This window comes from Homo sapiens, chromosome 15 (assembly GCF_000001405.40).
Source record: "Homo sapiens chromosome 15, GRCh38.p14 Primary Assembly".
Lineage (NCBI taxonomy): Eukaryota > Metazoa > Chordata > Mammalia > Primates > Hominidae > Homo > Homo sapiens.
The window spans coordinates 72,437,834-72,456,172 of record NC_000015.10 but is presented as its reverse complement, the minus strand read 5'-3'; the positions used below and the strand labels follow the sequence as shown (position 1 = coordinate 72,456,172).

At 41.1% G+C, this 18,339-nt stretch overlaps 1 long non-coding RNA gene and 1 pseudogene across 1 annotated transcript in view, besides 1 other annotated feature; one reads left to right on the top strand and one right to left on the bottom strand.

Moving 5' to 3' along the window:
- TMEM202-AS1 (TMEM202 antisense RNA 1) overlaps window positions 1-18,339 on the top strand; it is a 66,461-nt gene that overhangs the window by 18,067 nt on the left and 30,055 nt on the right. The window lies entirely within an intron of this gene.
- Window positions 4,252-4,751: an enhancer, noted in NCBI's record as "H3K4me1 hESC enhancer chr15:72743763-72744262 (GRCh37/hg19 assembly coordinates)". NCBI's record gives its function as "activates a minimal SCP1, AML or CMV promoter by ChIP-STARR-seq in naive H9 embryonic stem cells {active_cell/tissue: H9 hESC(naive)}" and the evidence as "EXISTENCE:reporter gene assay evidence [ECO:0000049][PMID:30033119]".
- On the bottom strand, window positions 4,551-5,587 carry PHB1P20 (PHB1 pseudogene 20; annotated as a pseudogene).

Sequence of the window (18,339 nt, the reverse complement as noted above, 5' to 3'; positions counted from 1 at the left end):
TTTTAAAATTTTTTGTAGGGACAGGGTCTCACTATATTGCCCAGGCTGGTCTCGAACTCCTGGACTCAAGGATCCTCTGGTCTTATTCTCCCAAAGTGCTGGGATTATAGGCATGAGCCACCATGCCCAGGCTAAGGCAAATCTTACCATAACAATTAGTTCTTAACAAACCAACCAACAAACTACATCCAGGCATTGTGGCTCACGCCTATAATCCCAGCACTTTGGGAGGTCGAGGCGGGGGGATCACCTGAGGTCAGGAGTTCCAGACCAGCCTAACATGGTGAAACCCCATCTCTACTAAAAATACAAAAATTAGTTGGGCGTGGTTGCGGGCACCTGTAATCCCAGCTACTCAGGAGGCTGAGGCAGGAGAATTGCTTGAACCCAGGAGGCAGAGGTTGCAGTGAGCCGAGATTGTGCCATTGCACTCCAGCCTGGGCAACAAGAGCTAAACTCCATCTCAAAAAAAAAAAAAAAAAAAAAAAAAATATATATATATATATATATATATATTCTAAAAGCTGGACCAGTATGCTGTATAACATGAATTATATCACCCTACCAAACAGTTAAAGGCCAGAAAGTTTGGTTCTGGAGTCAGAGCCAAAACTGTTTCAGGTGGTAGCTGCAGGGATACCCATTAACCACTGGTAACAAAGAGACTTTTGTTCACATATTTATAGTATTTTGTCCCCAGTTTTTATAGGAAAATTTGTTCAAAGTTACCAAAACAATGATAGCACTCTTAAGAGTTCTATGGACCCCATCTTGAACCTTTCTTCTGAGATGGCAGTGTCTATGTAAGCTCTTTATGTGCCCTTAAAAACAGCTAGAGGTATTAGAAATTAGAATCTTTATAATCAACTCTTGGTTCCTCAGAATGCCCAAACAAGTAAAATTGACTGAGTTTGGAGCTGGAAGGGACTTTAGACATCCCTAATTTTACAGAAGGGAAAACTGAGGCTCCACAGGGTAAACCAACTTGCCTGTCATCAAAGTAACCAATAGCAGAGCTGGCACTAGAATTTCAGTCACCTAATTTCTAGTGCAATGCTATTTCCACTGTCAAAAGTTATTAAAATTGTATATTTAAATGGGTCTTTTAGAAAATTTAGTCCAGAGATTCCTAAATAATTACCCAGGAGCTGGTCCTGGATTGGCTGTAAAAAATTATTAGTAGTGCTTCTGAGAGATACATATCTTTGGCTCCATCTTCAGAGATTCTGATTAAGTATGATCAGGATATGGAATCTGTATTGTTTAAAACTTCTGAGTTATTCTCTCAATCAGCTAGGCCTAGGAAGCATTCTCCAGACCAGTCATTTATCAGATGTACCAGTACCATCAATAACATTAGTATAGCTTCTGCTTGAATACCTTCAATATAAAATCTATTACATAAACAAGTCCTTGATAGTATGATATCTAAGCAAAGGAGGATGGGGACGAGGTTTAAATTCTATTTTAAACTTTAGAAACCTCTACTCAAGTTTAGGCAGAGAAGTAGGATTTCTTCGGCAGGGCACCATAGCTCACGCCTGTAATCCCAGCACTTTGGAAGGCCGAGGTGGGCAGATCACCTGAGGTCAGGAGTTCGAGACCAGCCTGGCCAACATAGTGGAACCCCGTCTCTACCAAAAATACATTAGCTGGGTGTGGTGGCATCCTCCTGTAATCCCAGCTACTCAGGAGGCTGAGGCAGAAGGATCATTTGAATCTGGGAGGTAGAGGTTGCAGTGAGCCAAGATTGCACCATTGCACTCCAGCCTGGGCAACAGAGCAAGACTCTGACTCAAAAAAAAAAAAAAAAAAAAGAGAAAAAGAAAGTAGAATTTCTCCATGTCTTAATAATCAATTGGGCATACGTGTCAGTTTTCACATAATTTGGGGCTATGTTAATGGAAACATGGAAATAGGCAGAATATCTGTTGAGTTCAATGGTAAAACCCAGGAAGCTGGATGTAATGGTACTTTTTCACAAATTAAGACTCTGTGTCTTAATTTATGAATTATGTGCTCATACTTCTTGGCACTTGTATTTAAGGTTTCACTATCAAATATATCAGTGTACATCTCACTCTGAGGCTAGCTATATAGAGAACAAGCAAAAAATTTATTATAAAAGCTATTATACAATTACTATTAGCATAGTAATATAACTTAGTTAATTTCAGAATTTATTTTTCCCCTTCTCCTTCCTAAAGAACTTTGCTTTTGTTTAACATTCCTCCTCTCTTCCATGAATTCTATATAATTCTTTGAAGCTCACCTTATCCCTAGCCCTAGCTGTTTTATTAGGACTAGTGAAAACATGGTATTCCTACTTCCATGCCAATGTTTGTTACTTGCTCCAGAACTAGGCTTAAGGCAATCAGCACATAGCATTCTTACGGTGACTATTACTGGTCAGGGAGAGAACCTACATTGACCAATCAAACTGAAGGGAAAGACTTACATTCAATAGTAGGTGAGAGGTTTCCTTTCTCTTCACCTATACTTGAAGAAGGGTACATGTTATCACTACTGCTGCTGGCAGCCATCATGTGGCCAAGAAGAAAGCCATTTAAGGATGAACCCTACACCCTCAGGAAGGCAGAGCTGAGAAAATAGCATAGAAATGGAGCCAGAGCGTGGCTCTAGACACCCTAACCACTGAACTTTGTTTTGTGAGATAATAAAATTCCATATTGTTTTAGCTGGTGTGAATTAGGTCTCACTATATACAGCTGAAAATATCCTAACTATTCATGTGTAAAATATATTGTGAGGAGGGCAGGGGATATGTTGGAAATCTCTGTCCTCTTAATTTTGCTGCTCCAAAACTGCTCTAAAAAATAAAGTCTTTTAAAAAATACATATGGCAAGGTTCAGCCCAACACATACTTTAAGATTAGCATAATGTGACCTGCTGTAATCCTCAGACTATGGCAAAATTATATTTGATCTAACCAATGAGTATTTGACTTAGAGTCTCTGAGTTTCTGGCTGCATCACCAAGACTTCATTCATAAGGCTATTGTCCTACCTACAAAATATGTAAACTCTTATTGAGGGACACAGTCTGAGAAAGGCTCTCTAGAACCATTCAGGAGCTATGGCATGGTGTTCACTTCAGTATATATTATACTTAATAATAGGTAATGAGTCTACATAAAGATTTACTTACTTATTAAGCACATGCAAAGACTGAAAGGTGAGGCCATTGAGGTACAAGCAAAAGTAGGGGACTGTAATGTCAAGGAAGCAGAAAGAAAAAATGTTTTGAGAAGGAAAGAATAATCAGCTGTTCAAGTGCTGCTAGAAGCTTTCTTGGAATTTAAAATACAAGTGAGTAGGCAAGGTATTCACACATTATAAAACAAAGTTGCATATAGTAAATGTGATGTGAATTCAAAGGCTGTACATTCTAGCTCTTTCCTACTCAAAAGAAGCATCACGTAGGAGCTGTTAGAATTGGAGAACCAGCCAAGCATGGTGGCTCGCACCTGTAATCCACAAGAGGCCCTAGGCAGGCAGATCACCTGAGCTCAAGAGTTCAAGACTAGCCTGGGCAATATGGTGAAAGAAACTCCACCTCTACAAAAAATAGCGGAGCATGGTGGCACTTGCCTATAGTCCCAGCTACCCGGGAGGCTGAGGTGGGAGGGTAGGTTGAGGCTGCAGTGAGGTGTGATTGCACCACTATGCTCTCCAGCCTGAGCAGCAGAGCAAGACCCTGCCTCCAAAAAAAAAAAAAAAAAAAGGAAACACAGAACCTCAGATCCCAATCCCACCAATCTCGCCCAGAATCTACTGAATCACAATTTTACATTTTAACAACAAACTGATGAAGGCTGGCATTTTAGGAATTGACCAAGTGATACACAGTATGAAGTGAAGAGAAGCAGTCTAGAAGTAAGGGGATAGGCTTGGTTTTTGTGTGTTTTTTTTTAACCACTTATGTCTTCCTTTTAATCAAAATTTTATATTTTACATATTTACATATATGCATATATAAGTATATGTATATATACAAATACAATGCATTTTCAGCTATAAATGTATATATACATATAAAGTGTATATATATATGTACAATTCTTTTTTACCTTTAAAAATGTGTGGTGTATATATGTGTATGTTTGTGTATATATAAATATTATGATATATATATTATATATATGTATGTATGTATGTCTGGCTAAGTCCTATAATCTCAGTACTTTGGGAGGCCGAGGCAGGAGGATCACTTGAGGTCAGGAGTTCAAGATTGGCTTGGGCAACACAACAAGACCCTGTCCTTTTATTTTTTTGATGGAGTCTCGCTCTGTCGCCCAGGAGTGCAGTGGTGCAATCTCAGCTTACTGCAACCTCTGCCTCCCAGGTTCAAGCGATTCTCCTGCCTCAGCCTCCCGAGTAGCTGGGACTACAGGCATACTACGCCCAGCTAATTTTTGTATTTGTAGTACCATGTTGGCCAGGTTGGTCTCGAGTTCCAGACCTCAAGTGATCTACCACCTCAGCCTCCCAAAATGCTGGGATTACAGGCGTGAGCCACTGCTCCCAGCCTGAAGTAATTTACTTTCATTTCCTTCACTTTAAGCGAATCATGAAATTTCACAGTGATTCCTGGGGTAGGGAGAGAAGGAAGGCGGTGTTTGGAATCATCGGGGCTGTGGCCCAGTTGGCCCGCATAGATGCAGGCAGGTGGGGCCTCACTGGGGCAGCTGGAGGAGCAGGTACTGCCCCGCCTCAGGAGCATAAGAGCTGGCACGTGGTATCCCCAGTGGCTTCTGGCTGGCATGGCTCCATCAGGCAAGTCCCCACAGTGGCCAGTGAGGTGGCGGTCAGCTCCGCTGCCTTGGAGTCGCCCTCAGCAGATATCATGGTTGCCTTTTTCTGCTGCCCAGCCTTTTCCACCACAAATCTGGCCCTCTCTGCTTCCTGCTGAGCCACCTGTTTGGCTTCCACTGCTTCTGTGAACTCCTTCCCAAAGGTCAGATGTGTCGAGGAGGTGTCATCCAGCATGAGCTAAATAAAATGTGGCTACTGCTCCATAAGGTCATCCTTCACCTGCCTGGAGACCACCTCTCTCTGGGTGATTGCTTCTGCAGCCTCAAAGCGAACCACCACCTGCTTAAGGATGTCTGTAGTGATGGATGGCAGCACAGGCTCATCACAGCCCTCTCCCATGCTGGTGAAGATGCAAGGAAGCTGGCTAGGGACAGGCAGGAAGAGGATGCGCAGTGGGGTATTGACATTCTGTAAATCTTTGCTACTGTGATGACTGGCACCTTACGTGGTCGAGAATGACAAAGGTAATCGGTTTCTGTATCCATGGGATGAGAAAGTGAGTTCTTTCCCCTACCACAATGTCCTGTACCCCAGAATCAGTCAAAGAGGACAGCTCTGTGCCCAGCATCCACATTATATAAGGCAGAGTTCACCATGCCTCCTGCAACAAGGCAGAGTTCACCATGCCTCCTGCAACAACTAAGGCCAGGCCAATGGACTCAAACACTTTGGCAGCCATGTTTCCTTCTGCTGGACCCTCTCACACTTGCTTCCACTCTGACCTCCACGTAAATTCCTCAGCCACACATACAAAATATTTTTTAAAAAATTAGCTGGGAATGGTGGTGCACGCCTGTCATCTTAGCTACTCAGGAGACTGAGGAGGGAGGATTGCTTGAGCCCAGGAGTTGGAGGCTGCAGTGAGCTATGATTGGGCCACCGCACTCTGGCCTGCATGACACAGCAGGACCCTGCCCCTAAAATTAAACATTTTTAAACTTTAAAATTTTTTAAATAAAAAATATATAATACATATAATTGTTTTCTCACCTTAAATTTTTTTTTTGTCTTTAACACTTCCTTACTGATTCATAAAAAGCTTCCTTGGCCAGGTGCCGTGCCTCACGCCTGTAATCCCAGCACTTTGGGAGGCCAAGGCAGGCAGATCATCTGAGGTCAGGAGTTCAAGACCAGCCTGGCCAACATGGTGAAACCCCGTCTTTACTAAAAATACAAAAAAATTAGCCAGGTGTGGTGGCAGGCATCTGTAATCCCTGCTACGGGAGGCTGAGGCAGGAGAATTGCTTGAACCCAGGAGATGGAGGTTGCAGTGAGCCGAGACCACACCATTGAACCCCAGCCTGGGCAATAAGAACGAAACTCCGTCTCAAAAAAAAAAAAAGCTTCCTTTTTCTCAACAGTTTAACGGTATTCTATTGACTGAATAAATAATAATTTATTTTTCAGTCTTCTATGATAGACTAAGTTGTTTACAGATTTACCAATAATCCTGAAGTGAATGACTACAAATGCAAATCACTTTCCATATGTATGAATTTATCTATAGGATTAAATTCCTAGGAATTGAATTAAAGAGTATATTTTAAACATTTAAACATTTCTCTTGTTGCTGTTAAATTTCCCTCTGTAGAGGCAGTGCCAATTTATGTTCCCCACTCTAAGATTGTCTTATCAAAAATTTTAATATTTGCCTGGCCAGCGCAGTGGCTCACGCCTGTAATCCCAGAACTTTGGGAGGCCAAGGCAGGTGGATTCCTTGAGGTCAGGAATTTGAGACTAGCCTGGCCAACATGGCGAAACCCGGTCTCTACTAAAAATACAAAAATTAGCTGAGTGTGGTGGTGCACACCTGTAATCTCAGCTACTCAGGAGGCTGAGGCAGGAGAATCACTTGAACCTGGGAGGCAGAGGTTGCAGTGAGCGGAGATTGTGTCCCTGCACTCCAGTCCATGCAACAGAGCAAGATTCCATCTAAAAAAAAAAAAAATTCTTAATCTTAACGAAATCCAAAGTATCAAATGATCTTTCATGGTTACTGTTATTTTTATGTGTGGGTCCTGTTTAAGAAATCTTTGCTTACCCTGATGTCATGGAGATAACTGTTTTCTTCTAGAAGCTTAATTGTATTTAATTCTATGCAGTTTGATTACATGTAAGTTTGTGTATCCACAACCACAGTGAAGATACAGAACAGTTCCATCAACACAAGGATCTCCTCCTGTTCTTTAATAACCACAACTCCCTTTTATCCTTCTCCCATCCCCCAATTCCTAACCCTTGACAGCTACACATTCTTTCTTTATCTCTCATATTTTGTCATTTCAAGTCTGTTTTATAAATGGAATCATAAATATAAAACCTTTAAGTTTGGCCTTTTCACTCAACATAATTTCCTTGAGATCCATCGAAGTTGTGTGTATCAATAGTTTGTTCCTTTTATTGCTGAGTAGTATTCCATGGTATTTATGTACCACAGTTTAACCATTCACTCATTGAAGGACATTTAGAGTATTTCCAGTTTGGGGCTATTATGAACAAAACTGCTATGACCATTCATGTACATGTTTTTATGTGTGTGAATATAAGTTTTCTCTTCTCTGGGATACATGCCCAAGAGTTCAGTTGCTGGGTTATATAGTAATTGCATGTTTAGTTTATAAGAGACTGCCAAACTGTTTTCTAGAGTGGCTGTACTATTTAACATTCTCACCAGTAATATCTGTATAATCTGGTTTCTCTGTATCCTTCAAAGCATTTGGTGATATCACTAGTTTTTATTTTAGCCATTCCAATAGATGTGTAGTAATGTCTCACTGTGATTTTTAATTTGCATTTTTCTAATGTCTATTGATGTTGAATATCTTTTCATGTGTTTATTTGCTATCTGTATATCCTCTTTGGTGAGATGCCTGTTCATGTATTTGCCCATTCTCATTGGATTGTTTCCTTTGTGTGCTTTTTTAATTGCTGGGGTTTGAAAGTTCTTTATATATCCTAGTCCTTTGTCAGATGTGGTTTGCAAATATTTTCTTCCACTCTATAGCTTGTTCTTCCTCTTCTTAATGGGGTCTTTCACAGAACAGAAGTTTTTGATTTTCATGAAATGCAATTTGTCAATTTTTCCTTTTATATATACTTTTTTTTTTTTTTTATAGAGATAGGTTCTTGCTATGTTGCTCCAAGCTGGTCTTGGAACTCCTGGCCACAAACAATTCTCCCACCTCAGCCTCCCAGTGTGTTGGGATTACAGGTATGATCCACTGCTCCCAGCCTACTAGGTAATATTAAGTATTCACTTTTTTTAATTTTTAATTTTTAATTTTTTTTTCTTTTTTGAGACAGGGTCTTGTTCTGTTACCCAGACTGGAGTGCAATGGCATGATCTCGGCTCACTGCAACCTCTACCTCCCGGATTCAAGCAATTCTCCTGCTTCAGCCTCCTAAGTAGCTGGGACTACAGGCATGTGCCAACACGCCCAGCTAATTTTTTTTTTTTTTTTCCGAGACAGAGTCTTGCTCTGTCGCCCAGGCTGGAGTGCAGTGGCGCCATCTTTGCTCACTGCCAGCTCTGCCTCCCGTGTTCATGCCATTCTCCTGCCTCAGCCTCCTGAGTAGCTGGGACCACAGGCGCCCGCCACCATGCCTGGCTAATTTTTTGTATTTTTAGTAGAGATGGGGTTTCACCATGTTAGCCAGGATAGTCTCGATCTCCTGACCTCGTGATCCGCCCGCCTTGACCTCCCACAGTGCAGGGATTACAGGTGTGAGCCACGGTGACCAGCCTAAAAATGTTTTTAAATTTTTTTATGGGCAGCCCTTCTAGCCAGAGAAGGCTTAGAGAGACTCCCAAGTATTCACATTTATTTACACAAATTGTATTTGGTTTGGAATATATCATATTATTGGGATATGCTTTTCATGTCTATAGCCTTAATTATTTTCAAAATGTGGTCTGTGTTTCCTTTCCTTTGTTTTTGTTTATATTTATTCCGATAATTTAGAATGTTTGAATTTTTTCTATTGAATGCATTTATAATAACTTTATATATGCCCTAATGATCATTTTCTTTGGATTGATCTAATGACTGTTATGAGAAGGACGCAATTGATAATGGAATCTTTCCTGTTCTTTCCCTTTATTCTTTTTGTCTTCCATCATCTGATTTTATTTTATTTTTTTTTTAGAAATCGGATCTTACTGCTTATCGCCTTTTGGCTAAGATCAAGTATGGAGATGGGGTCTTGCTATGTTGCCCAGGCTGGATTTGAACTCCTGGGCTCAAGCAGTCTTCCCACCTCAGCCTCCTGAGTTATTGGCATGTGCCACTGCACCTGGCTGATATTAGACTTATTGTCTTTTGTAGTATTTACACTTTGCTAGAAAAGTATGTAGCTCCCTGTAATAGACAATCCAACTAATACTGGCTTTGAAAATATGGCTTTAATTTTCTCATATAACAAGAATTCTGGAAGTAGGTAGTTCTTGGCAGTTTCCCCTGCTCAACACTGTCATTGAGGACTTAACGGTTTTTCTGTATTTCTGCTCTTCCATCCTCAGTATGTTGGCTCTTGACTTCATGCTTTTTCTTCATACATCCAAGATGACTGTTGCAGCTCTGGCCATCACAATAGCATTTAAGACCAGAGGAGGCTGGGTACAGTGGTTCACACCTGTAATCACAGTATTTGGGAGGCTGAGGCAGGAGAATCACTTGAGCCCAGGAGTTTAAGACCAGCCTGGATAGCATAGTGAAACCCTGTCTCTACAAAAAATAATTTAAAAATTAGCAGGCAGGCCGGGCGCAATGGCTCACGCCTATAATCCCAGCACTTTGGGAGGCGGAGCTGGGCGGATCACCTGAGATCGGGAGTTCGAGACCAGCCTGACCAACATGGAGAAACCCCTTCTCTAATAAAAACACAAAATTAGCCAGGCGTGGTGGTACATGTCTGTAATCCCAGCTACTCGGGAGGCTGAGGCAGGAGAATCACTTGAACCCAGGAGGGGAGGTTGCAGTGAGCCGAAATCGTACCACTGCACTCCAGCTTGGGCAACAAGAGAGAGCCTCTGTCTCAAAAAAAAAAAAAAAAAAAATTAGCCAGGCATGGTGGCATGTACCTGAAGTCCCAGCTACTCAGGAGGCTGAGGCAGGAGCATTGCTTGAACCCAGGAGGTTGAGGCTGCAGTGAGCCATGATCAAGCACCACTGCACTCCAGCCTGGGTGACAGAACGAGACCATCTCAAAACAAAAAGGAAAAAGCTGAGAGCAGCACTATTAGTGTTTACAAAGCAAATACACGTTTACTCTATTGTCTCATTGGACAGAAATATATCGTATAGTTATCTCTAGCTGTAGAGGAGGAAAGAAAGTGATTATGTGGTATGCCACTATTGAAATCAGTCTTTTGTTATGTCCTGTAGGAAAGTTTTAAAGTTTTCTTCATATATATCTTCTACAGTTATTTTTATTCTTGGGTGTTTTATTCTTTACTATTTTGAATATAGTTTATTGTTACATTTTCTAATTGGTTATATTGCTAATTTTTAAATTAGTTTCTGATTTTTGAGTGTTGATTATTTTGTTCTTTTGTTCATCCATATAAGTAAAGTTTCTTCTTAGTTCTGATGGTAAGTTAGGGTAGTGAGGTAGAAGAGGAAGATGTAACAACCGATACCCTGGAAGTACTGCTTCTTCCATAGATCTTACTGCATATGCTGCCCCTTTGAACTAGCTTAGCTACCCAGTAAGGCCTGGCACAAATCCAAAAGCACAGCTTGAAGAGAGCAGTGGAGCTAATACCCCTCTAAAGGCAGAAAAGCTATAGTCATTTCCCAGAACAGAAAGATAAGCAAGAAAATTACCACAATTAATAATGTGTTTGGTCTTTTTTTCAGTCTACTCTTAGAAAAAAAATGGGTGCAGCAGCTTTGCAAAACACTCCAAAGAGAAAATGTAATAACAGAATAAACCCCTCCTCTAATACTAGGGTATTAGAGGGTATGGATCTTTTCTAATGGCCAGAGTTTGAAACACAAGGTTTTCAAATAATTAGCTGAGCTTTTGAATCTCCATAGCCCCAGAGCTGATTTTGGGATAAAGACTAGAGAAACATGAATTGCTGTGTGTAAAAAAAATAGAAGGAAATAGGATTTTGTTCCATCAAAGAATGGGGCAGCAAAAAGTAAAAGAGGACGAGAAAAGAAGGAAGATAGTAAAGCTAAGCATTTATGACAAGAGGCTAGAGTCAAAGGAATATAAATGGCTGAGGAAATTTCATTTTTCGTTTTTACTTTTTAAGAATATTTATTTAAATACGATGCATGGGAATGCAGGTATGAATAAAAGAAAATGAAAGTTACAGGTTTTCAAGCCAGTCAAACATCTGATGCCTCCATGGTTTTAGGCAAAATTATAAAGGAGGTAAAGTTTGTCATTAACAATCTCCTTCATGCCTTCATGCTTTTTCAGTATCCCTGTCCTCCAGGTAATTAGCCCCTTCATCCTGCCTGAAAGCTGTCAAAATTCTTCCCCTATCTAGACCTTTCCTTTGCAAAGTTTCTTCTTCCTTCTCTTTTCTTAACTATCAAAGCGTCTGCTTAGTAATATTTCAGTATATCACTATATGATTGATTTGAATAATCTGATTTAAGGTATGACTGAAATTTTAACTATCCTCTTAGAGAATTCGTACTTTAAAACTGGTCTCTGTTAATTCATATTTACTAAGAAGAATATCTTTTAATGCTTCTTGCCCTGTCTGTCCTCTATTGTCTCCTTGTTTCCTTTCTTTCTTTCTTTTTTTTTTTTTTTTTTTTTTGAGACGGAGTCTCGCTCTGTCGCCCAGGCTGGAGTGCAGTGGCGCGATATCGGCTCACTGCAAGCTCCACCTCCCGGGTTCACACCATTCTCTTGACTCAGCCTCCTGAGTAGCTGGGACTACAGGCATCCACCACCATGCCCAGCTAATTTTGTGTATTTTTAGTAGGGATGGGGTTTCGCCATGTTGGCCAGGCTGGTCTCAAACTCCTGACCTCAGGTGATCCACCCACCTCAGCCTCCCAAAGTGCTGGGATTACAGGCGTGAGCCACTGCACCCGGCGAAAATTGTCTACAAAAAATCCAAAAATTATCTGGGTGTGGTGGCATGCACCTATAGTCCCAGCTCCTCAGGAGGTATCACCTGAGCCCAGGAGGTCGAGGCTGCAGTGAACCATGATCACGCCACTGAATTCCAGCCTGAGCAATAAAGTGAGGCCCCATCTCTTTTTTTTTTTTTTTTTTTTTTTTTTTTGAGCCGGAATCTCGCTCTGTCGCCCAGGCTGGAGTGCAGTGGCGGGATCTCGGCTCACTGCAAGCTCCGCCTCCCGGGTTCACGGTGAGGCCCCATCTCAAAAAAAAAAAAAACTTTCATTGAAGTAGGAATAGAGGAGAATGTCTTCAACTTGATAAAGAACATCTACAGAAAGCCTGAAGCTAACAACATACTTAAGGTAAGAAACTGGAAGCTTTCTTGCTAAGATCAGGTACGAGGCCAGAATGTTCCCTTTCACCACTCCTTTTCAATGTTGTACTAGAACTCTTAGCTAATGAAATAAGAAAAGAAAAGGAAATAAGTTATATAGATTTGGACAGAAGAAATAAAAACTGTCTTTGTTCACAGAAGACATGATTTTCTATGTAAAAATCCAAATGAATTTACAAAAAAACCTTCTGGAACTAATAAACAATTATAGCAAGATTGCAGGATACAAAGTCAATATAAAAATTTCAATCACTATCCTATATACCAGCTAAATATACCGGCAGTAAACTAGTAGAATGTGAAATTAAAAGCATCGTACCATTTACGTTAGCACCACCAAAAATGAAATACTTAGATATAAATCTAATAAAATATGCATATAATCTATATGAGGGAAAATACAAAACTCTGATGGAAGAAATCAAAGAAATAAATCAAGAGCTATTTATTGTTCATGAATAGGAAGACTTATATTATTTTTTATTATACTTTAAGTTCTAGGGTACATGTGCACAACATGCAGATTGTTACATAGGTATACACGTGCCATGTTGGTGTGCTGCACCCATTAACTCATCATTTACATTAGGTATATCTCCTAATGCTATCCCTCCCCCCTCCCCCACCCCATGACACGCCCCGTGTGTGATGTTCCCCTTCTTGTGTCCAAGTGTTCTCATTGTTCAATTCCCACCTATGAGTGAGAACATGCGGTGTTTGGTTTTCTGTCCTTGTAATAGTTTGCTGAGAATGATGGTTTCCAGCTTCATCCATGTCCCTACAAAGAACATGAACTCATCATTTTTTATGGCTGCATAGTATTCCATGGTATATATGTGCCACATTTTCTTAATCCAGTCTATCATTGATGGACATTTGGGTTGGTTCCAAGTCTTTGCTATTGTGAATAGTGCCGTAATAAACATACGTGTGCATGTGTCTTTATAGCAGCATGATTTATAATCCTTTGGGTATATACCCAGTAATGGGATGGCTGGGTCAAATGGTATTTCTAGTTCTAGAACCTTGAGGAATCGCCATACTGAGGAAGACTTAATATTATTAAGATGTCAATTCTTCCTGACTTTATAGATTCAATACATTCCCAGTTAAAATCCCAGCTACTTGATACAGGATTCTGGGAAGATGACAGAATAGAAGGCACCAGGAATCTGTCTCCCAACCTAACAACAATTGCACTGGCAGAATTTGTCTGATGAAACTATTTTGAAATTCTAGAGTCTACTGAAGGCTTGCACCATCCAGGAGAAGGCTTGGATGCTAAAGTGAGTATAAATTTGGTCAAATTCAGCTCCTGAATACAATAGCAGGTAACCATCCTCCACCCCTGAGCCACTTGGCAGGCAGTTTGTGCATGTGTTCCTAGAACACCTTGCAAACATCTTGTGGGAGCCCAGGTGGGGAAAAAGGTCCCTGTCCTTCAAATATTAGGCATCTAAGCCATGATTGCTGATTACTGCTTCTGATCATAGAGGTGCAGACAAAGAGGTTGGCTGCCATTGTTGTTGCATCTTCCCCAATTGTTGCAAGCCCCTCCCACTCCAGCTGAAGTGACTTCCAAGGGATTGAAAGGACTGGCATTTAAGTGGTTGATGCCCTTTCTTTCTCCCCTTCATTTTTCTCTTTTTTCTTCTTTTGGGATCCAGACTTGAAAGACTAAGACATTGAAACATAACTATATATATGGGGAAAAGCAGAAAGTGACCATGAATGCACAGGGAAAAACTCAGAAAAGATCTGAGAGGACCTTAAGTTTCTACATCAACTGGTACAAAAACAGACACATAGACCAATGGAACAGAATAGAGAGCCCAGAAATAAGGTGGCACACCTGCAACCATCTGATCTTTGACAAAGCTGGCAAAAACAAGCAATGGGGAAAGAACTCCCTATTCAATAAATGGTGCTGGGATAACTGGCTCGCCATATGCAGAGATTGAAACTGGACCCCTTCCTTACATCGTATACAAAAATCAACTCAAGGTGGATTAAATTCTTAAACATAAAACCCAAAACTATAAAAACTCTGGAAGACAACCTAGGCAATTACCATTCTGTACACAGGAACGGGAAAAGATTTCATGACAAAGACACCAAAAGCAATTGCAACAAAAGCAAAATTTGACAAATAGGATCTAATTAAATGAAAGAGCTTCTGCACAGCAAAATAAACTGTCAACAGAGTAAACAGGCAACCTACAAAATGGGAGAAAATTTTCCAAACTATCCATCTGGAAAAAAGCCTGATTTCCAGCATATATAAGGAACCTAAACAAATTTGCAAGGAAAAAAAACGATTAAAAAGTGGGCAAAGGACATAAATAGACATTTTTCAAAAGAAGACATACATGTGGCCAATAAGCATATGAGAAAAAACTCAACACCACTGACCACTAGAGAAATGCAAATCAAAACCACAATGAGATACCATCTCACACCAGTCAGAATGGCTATTATTAAAAAGTCAAAAAATAACAGATGCTGGCAAAGTTGCAGAGAAAAAGGAACATGTATATGTTGTTGATGGGAGTGTAAATTAGTTCACCCATTGTGGAAAGCAGTGTGGTGGTTCCTCAAAGACCTAAAAACAGAACTACCATTTGGCCCAGCAATCCCATTATTAGATATAGGCCCAAATGAATAGAAATTGTTCTATCATAAAGACACATGCAGGCCGGGTGTGTTGACTCACGCCTGTAATCCCAGCACTTTGGGAGGCCGAGGCAGGCAGATCATCTGAGGTCAGGAGTTCAAGACCTGCCTGGCCAACATGGCGAAACCCCATCTCTACTAAAAGTACAAAAAATTAGCTGGGTATGGTGGCCGGTGCCTATAATCCCAGCTACTCGGGAGGCTGAGGCATGAGAATCGTTGAACCCGGGAGGCGGAGGTTGCAGTGAGCTGAGTTCGCGGCACTGCACTCCAGCCTGGGCAACAAGAGTGAAACTCCATCTCAAAAAAAAAAAAAAAAAGACGCATGCATATGTTCATTGCAACACTATTCACAGTAGCAAAGACACGGAATCAACATAAATGTCCATCAAAGGTAGACTGATAAAGAAAAGATGGTACATATACACCATGGAATACTGTGCAGCCATAAAAAAGGACAAGATCAGGTCCTTTGCAGGAACATGGATGAAGCTAGAGGCCATTATCCTTAGCAAACACAGGAACAGAAAACCAAATACCACATGTTCTCACTTATAAATGGGAGCTAAGTGATGAGAACACATGGACCCATAGAGGGGAACAGACACTGGGGCCTACCAGACGGTGGAGGGTGGGAGGAGGGAGAGGATTAGGACAAATAACTAATGGATACTAGGCTTAACACCTGGGTGATGAAATGATCTGTACAACAAACCTTCATGACACAAGTTTAGCTGTATAACAAACCTGTACATGTACCCCTGAACTTAAAAGTTAAAAAAATTTGCCAGGCCTGGTGGCTCACGCCTGTAATCCCAGCACTTTGGGAGGCTAAGGCAGGCAGATCACGAGGTCAGGAGATCGAGACCATCCTGACTAACATGGTGAAACCCCATCTCTACAAAAAATACAAAAAATTAGCCAGGCATGGTGGCATGTGCCTGTAGTCCCAGCTACTTGGGAGGCTGAGGCAGGAGAATCACTTGAACCCAGGAGATGGAGGTTGCAGTGAGCCAAGATCGCGCCACTGCACTCCAACCTAGGCAACAGAGTGAGACTCTGTCTCAAAAAAAAAAAAAAACTAAAAAAATTCACATCTCAGATGATTCTTGGCACAGAGACTGCCTACCCAAATAAAAATAAACAGTAATAAAAATAGCAAACCTTGGCAGCCAACCTCTTTGTCTGCACCTCTATGATCAGAAGCGGTAATCAGCAATCATGGCTTAGATGCCTAATATTTGAAGGACAGGGACCTTTTTCCCCACCTGGGCTCCCGCATGATGTTTGCAAGGTGCTCTAGGAACACATGCACAAACTGCCTGCCAAGTGGCTCAGGGGTGGAGGATGGTTACCTGCTATTGTAGGAAAGGGAGAGCATCTTCTTTCCAGAGTTAACCACATTATTAGATCCAACTGTCCAGTTTTCAACAAAAAAAAAATAAGTTATACAAAGAAACAGAAAAGTTTGGCCTATTCAAAAAATAATAATAATAAAGCAACAGAAATTGTGCCTGAAAAAGACCTGATAGCAAACATACCAAACAAAGACTTTAAAACAACTGTCTTTTCTCACACCTGTAATCCCAGCACTTTGGGAGGCCGAGGCAGGCGGATCACCTGAGGTTGGGAGTTCTAGAGCAGCCTGACCAACGTGGAGAAACCCCATCTCTATTAAAAATACAAAAAATTTGCCAGGCGTGGTGGCACATGCCTGTAATTCCAGCTACTAAGAAGGTTGAGGCAGGAGAATCCCTTGAACCTGGAAGGTGGAGGTTGCGGTGAGCTGAGATCCTACCATTGCACTCCAGCCTGGGCAACAAGAGCAAAACTCCATCTCAAAAATAAATAAATAAATAAATAAATAAATAAAACAACTTTTTTTTTTTTTTTGAGATAGTGTTTCTCAGTCACCCAGGCTGGAGTGCAGTGATGTGATCTCAGCTCCCCGCAACCTCTGCCTTCCGGGTTCAAATGATTCTTCTAAAACAACTGTCTTAAAGATGCTCAAATCACTAAAGGAAGATGTGGGGAAAAAAAATCAAGAAAATAATGTATAAATAAAATGGAAATATTAATCTAAAAACAGCAAACCTAAAAAGAAACCAAAAAGGAATTCTTTTTTTTTTTTTTTGAGATGGAGTCTCGCTCTGTCGCCCAGGCTGGAGTGCAGTGGCGTGAACTCGGTTCACTGCAAGCTCCGCCTCCCAGGTTCACGCCATTCTCCTGCCTCAGCCTCCCGAGTAGCTGGGACTACAGGTGCCCGCCACCACGCCCAGCTAATTTTTTGTATTTTTAGTAGAGATGGGGTTTCACCTTGTTAGCCAGGATGATCTTGATCTCCTGACCTCGTGATCCGCCTGCCTCAGCCTCCCAAAGTGCTGGGATTACAGGTGTGAGCCGCCGCGCCCAGCCGTTTTTTGGTTTTTTTTTTTTTTTGAGACGGAGTCTCGCTCTGTTGCCCAGGCTGGAGTGCAGTGGCACAATCTCGGCTCACTGCAAGCTCTGCCTCCCGGGTTCATGCCATTCTGCTGCCTCAGCCTCCCGAGTAGCTGGGACTACAGGCACCCACCACCATGCCTGGCTAATTTTTTGTATTTTTTTTTTAGTAGAGACCGGGTTTCACCATGTTAGCCAGGATGGTCTCAATCTCCTGACCTTGTGATTCGCCCGCCTTGGCCTCCCAAAGTGCTGGGATTACAGGCGTGAACCACCGCACCCGGCCCAAAAAGAAATTCTAAAGTTGAAAGTACAATAACTGAAATAAAAATTTTACTAAGAGGACAGAACAAGATCCTGTCTCAAAAAAAAAAAAAAAAAGAAAGAAAGAAAAGGCAGGTTTGTGTAGGCAGAAGAAAGAATCAGTGAATGTGAAGAAGGACAATGGAAAGTATTGAGTCTGAGGAACAGAAAGAATAAAGATTGAAGAAAAGTGAGCCAAAGGGACCTGTGGGACACAATCAAGTGGACAAAAGTGTGTATTATGGTAATTTCAGAAAGAGGAGAGAGAGAGAGTTGGGGCAGAGAGAATATTTGAAGAAATAATGACTGAAAACTTCCCAAATTAAATGAAAGACATGAGTATAAACATCCAAGAAGCTCAAAAAACTCTAAGTAAGATGAACTCAGAGATCCACACTGAGACACATTGTAATTAAACTTTTGGAAACCAAAAACAATGAGAGAATATTTAAAGAAGCAAGAGAAAAGTGACTTATCACATATAAGGGATCCTCAATAAGATTATTAGAAGGTTTCTCATCAGGACCTTTGAAGGTCAGAAGGCTGTGGGCCATTATATTCAAAGTGCTAAAAGGCAGGCAGGGGAAAGTCTGTCAACCAAG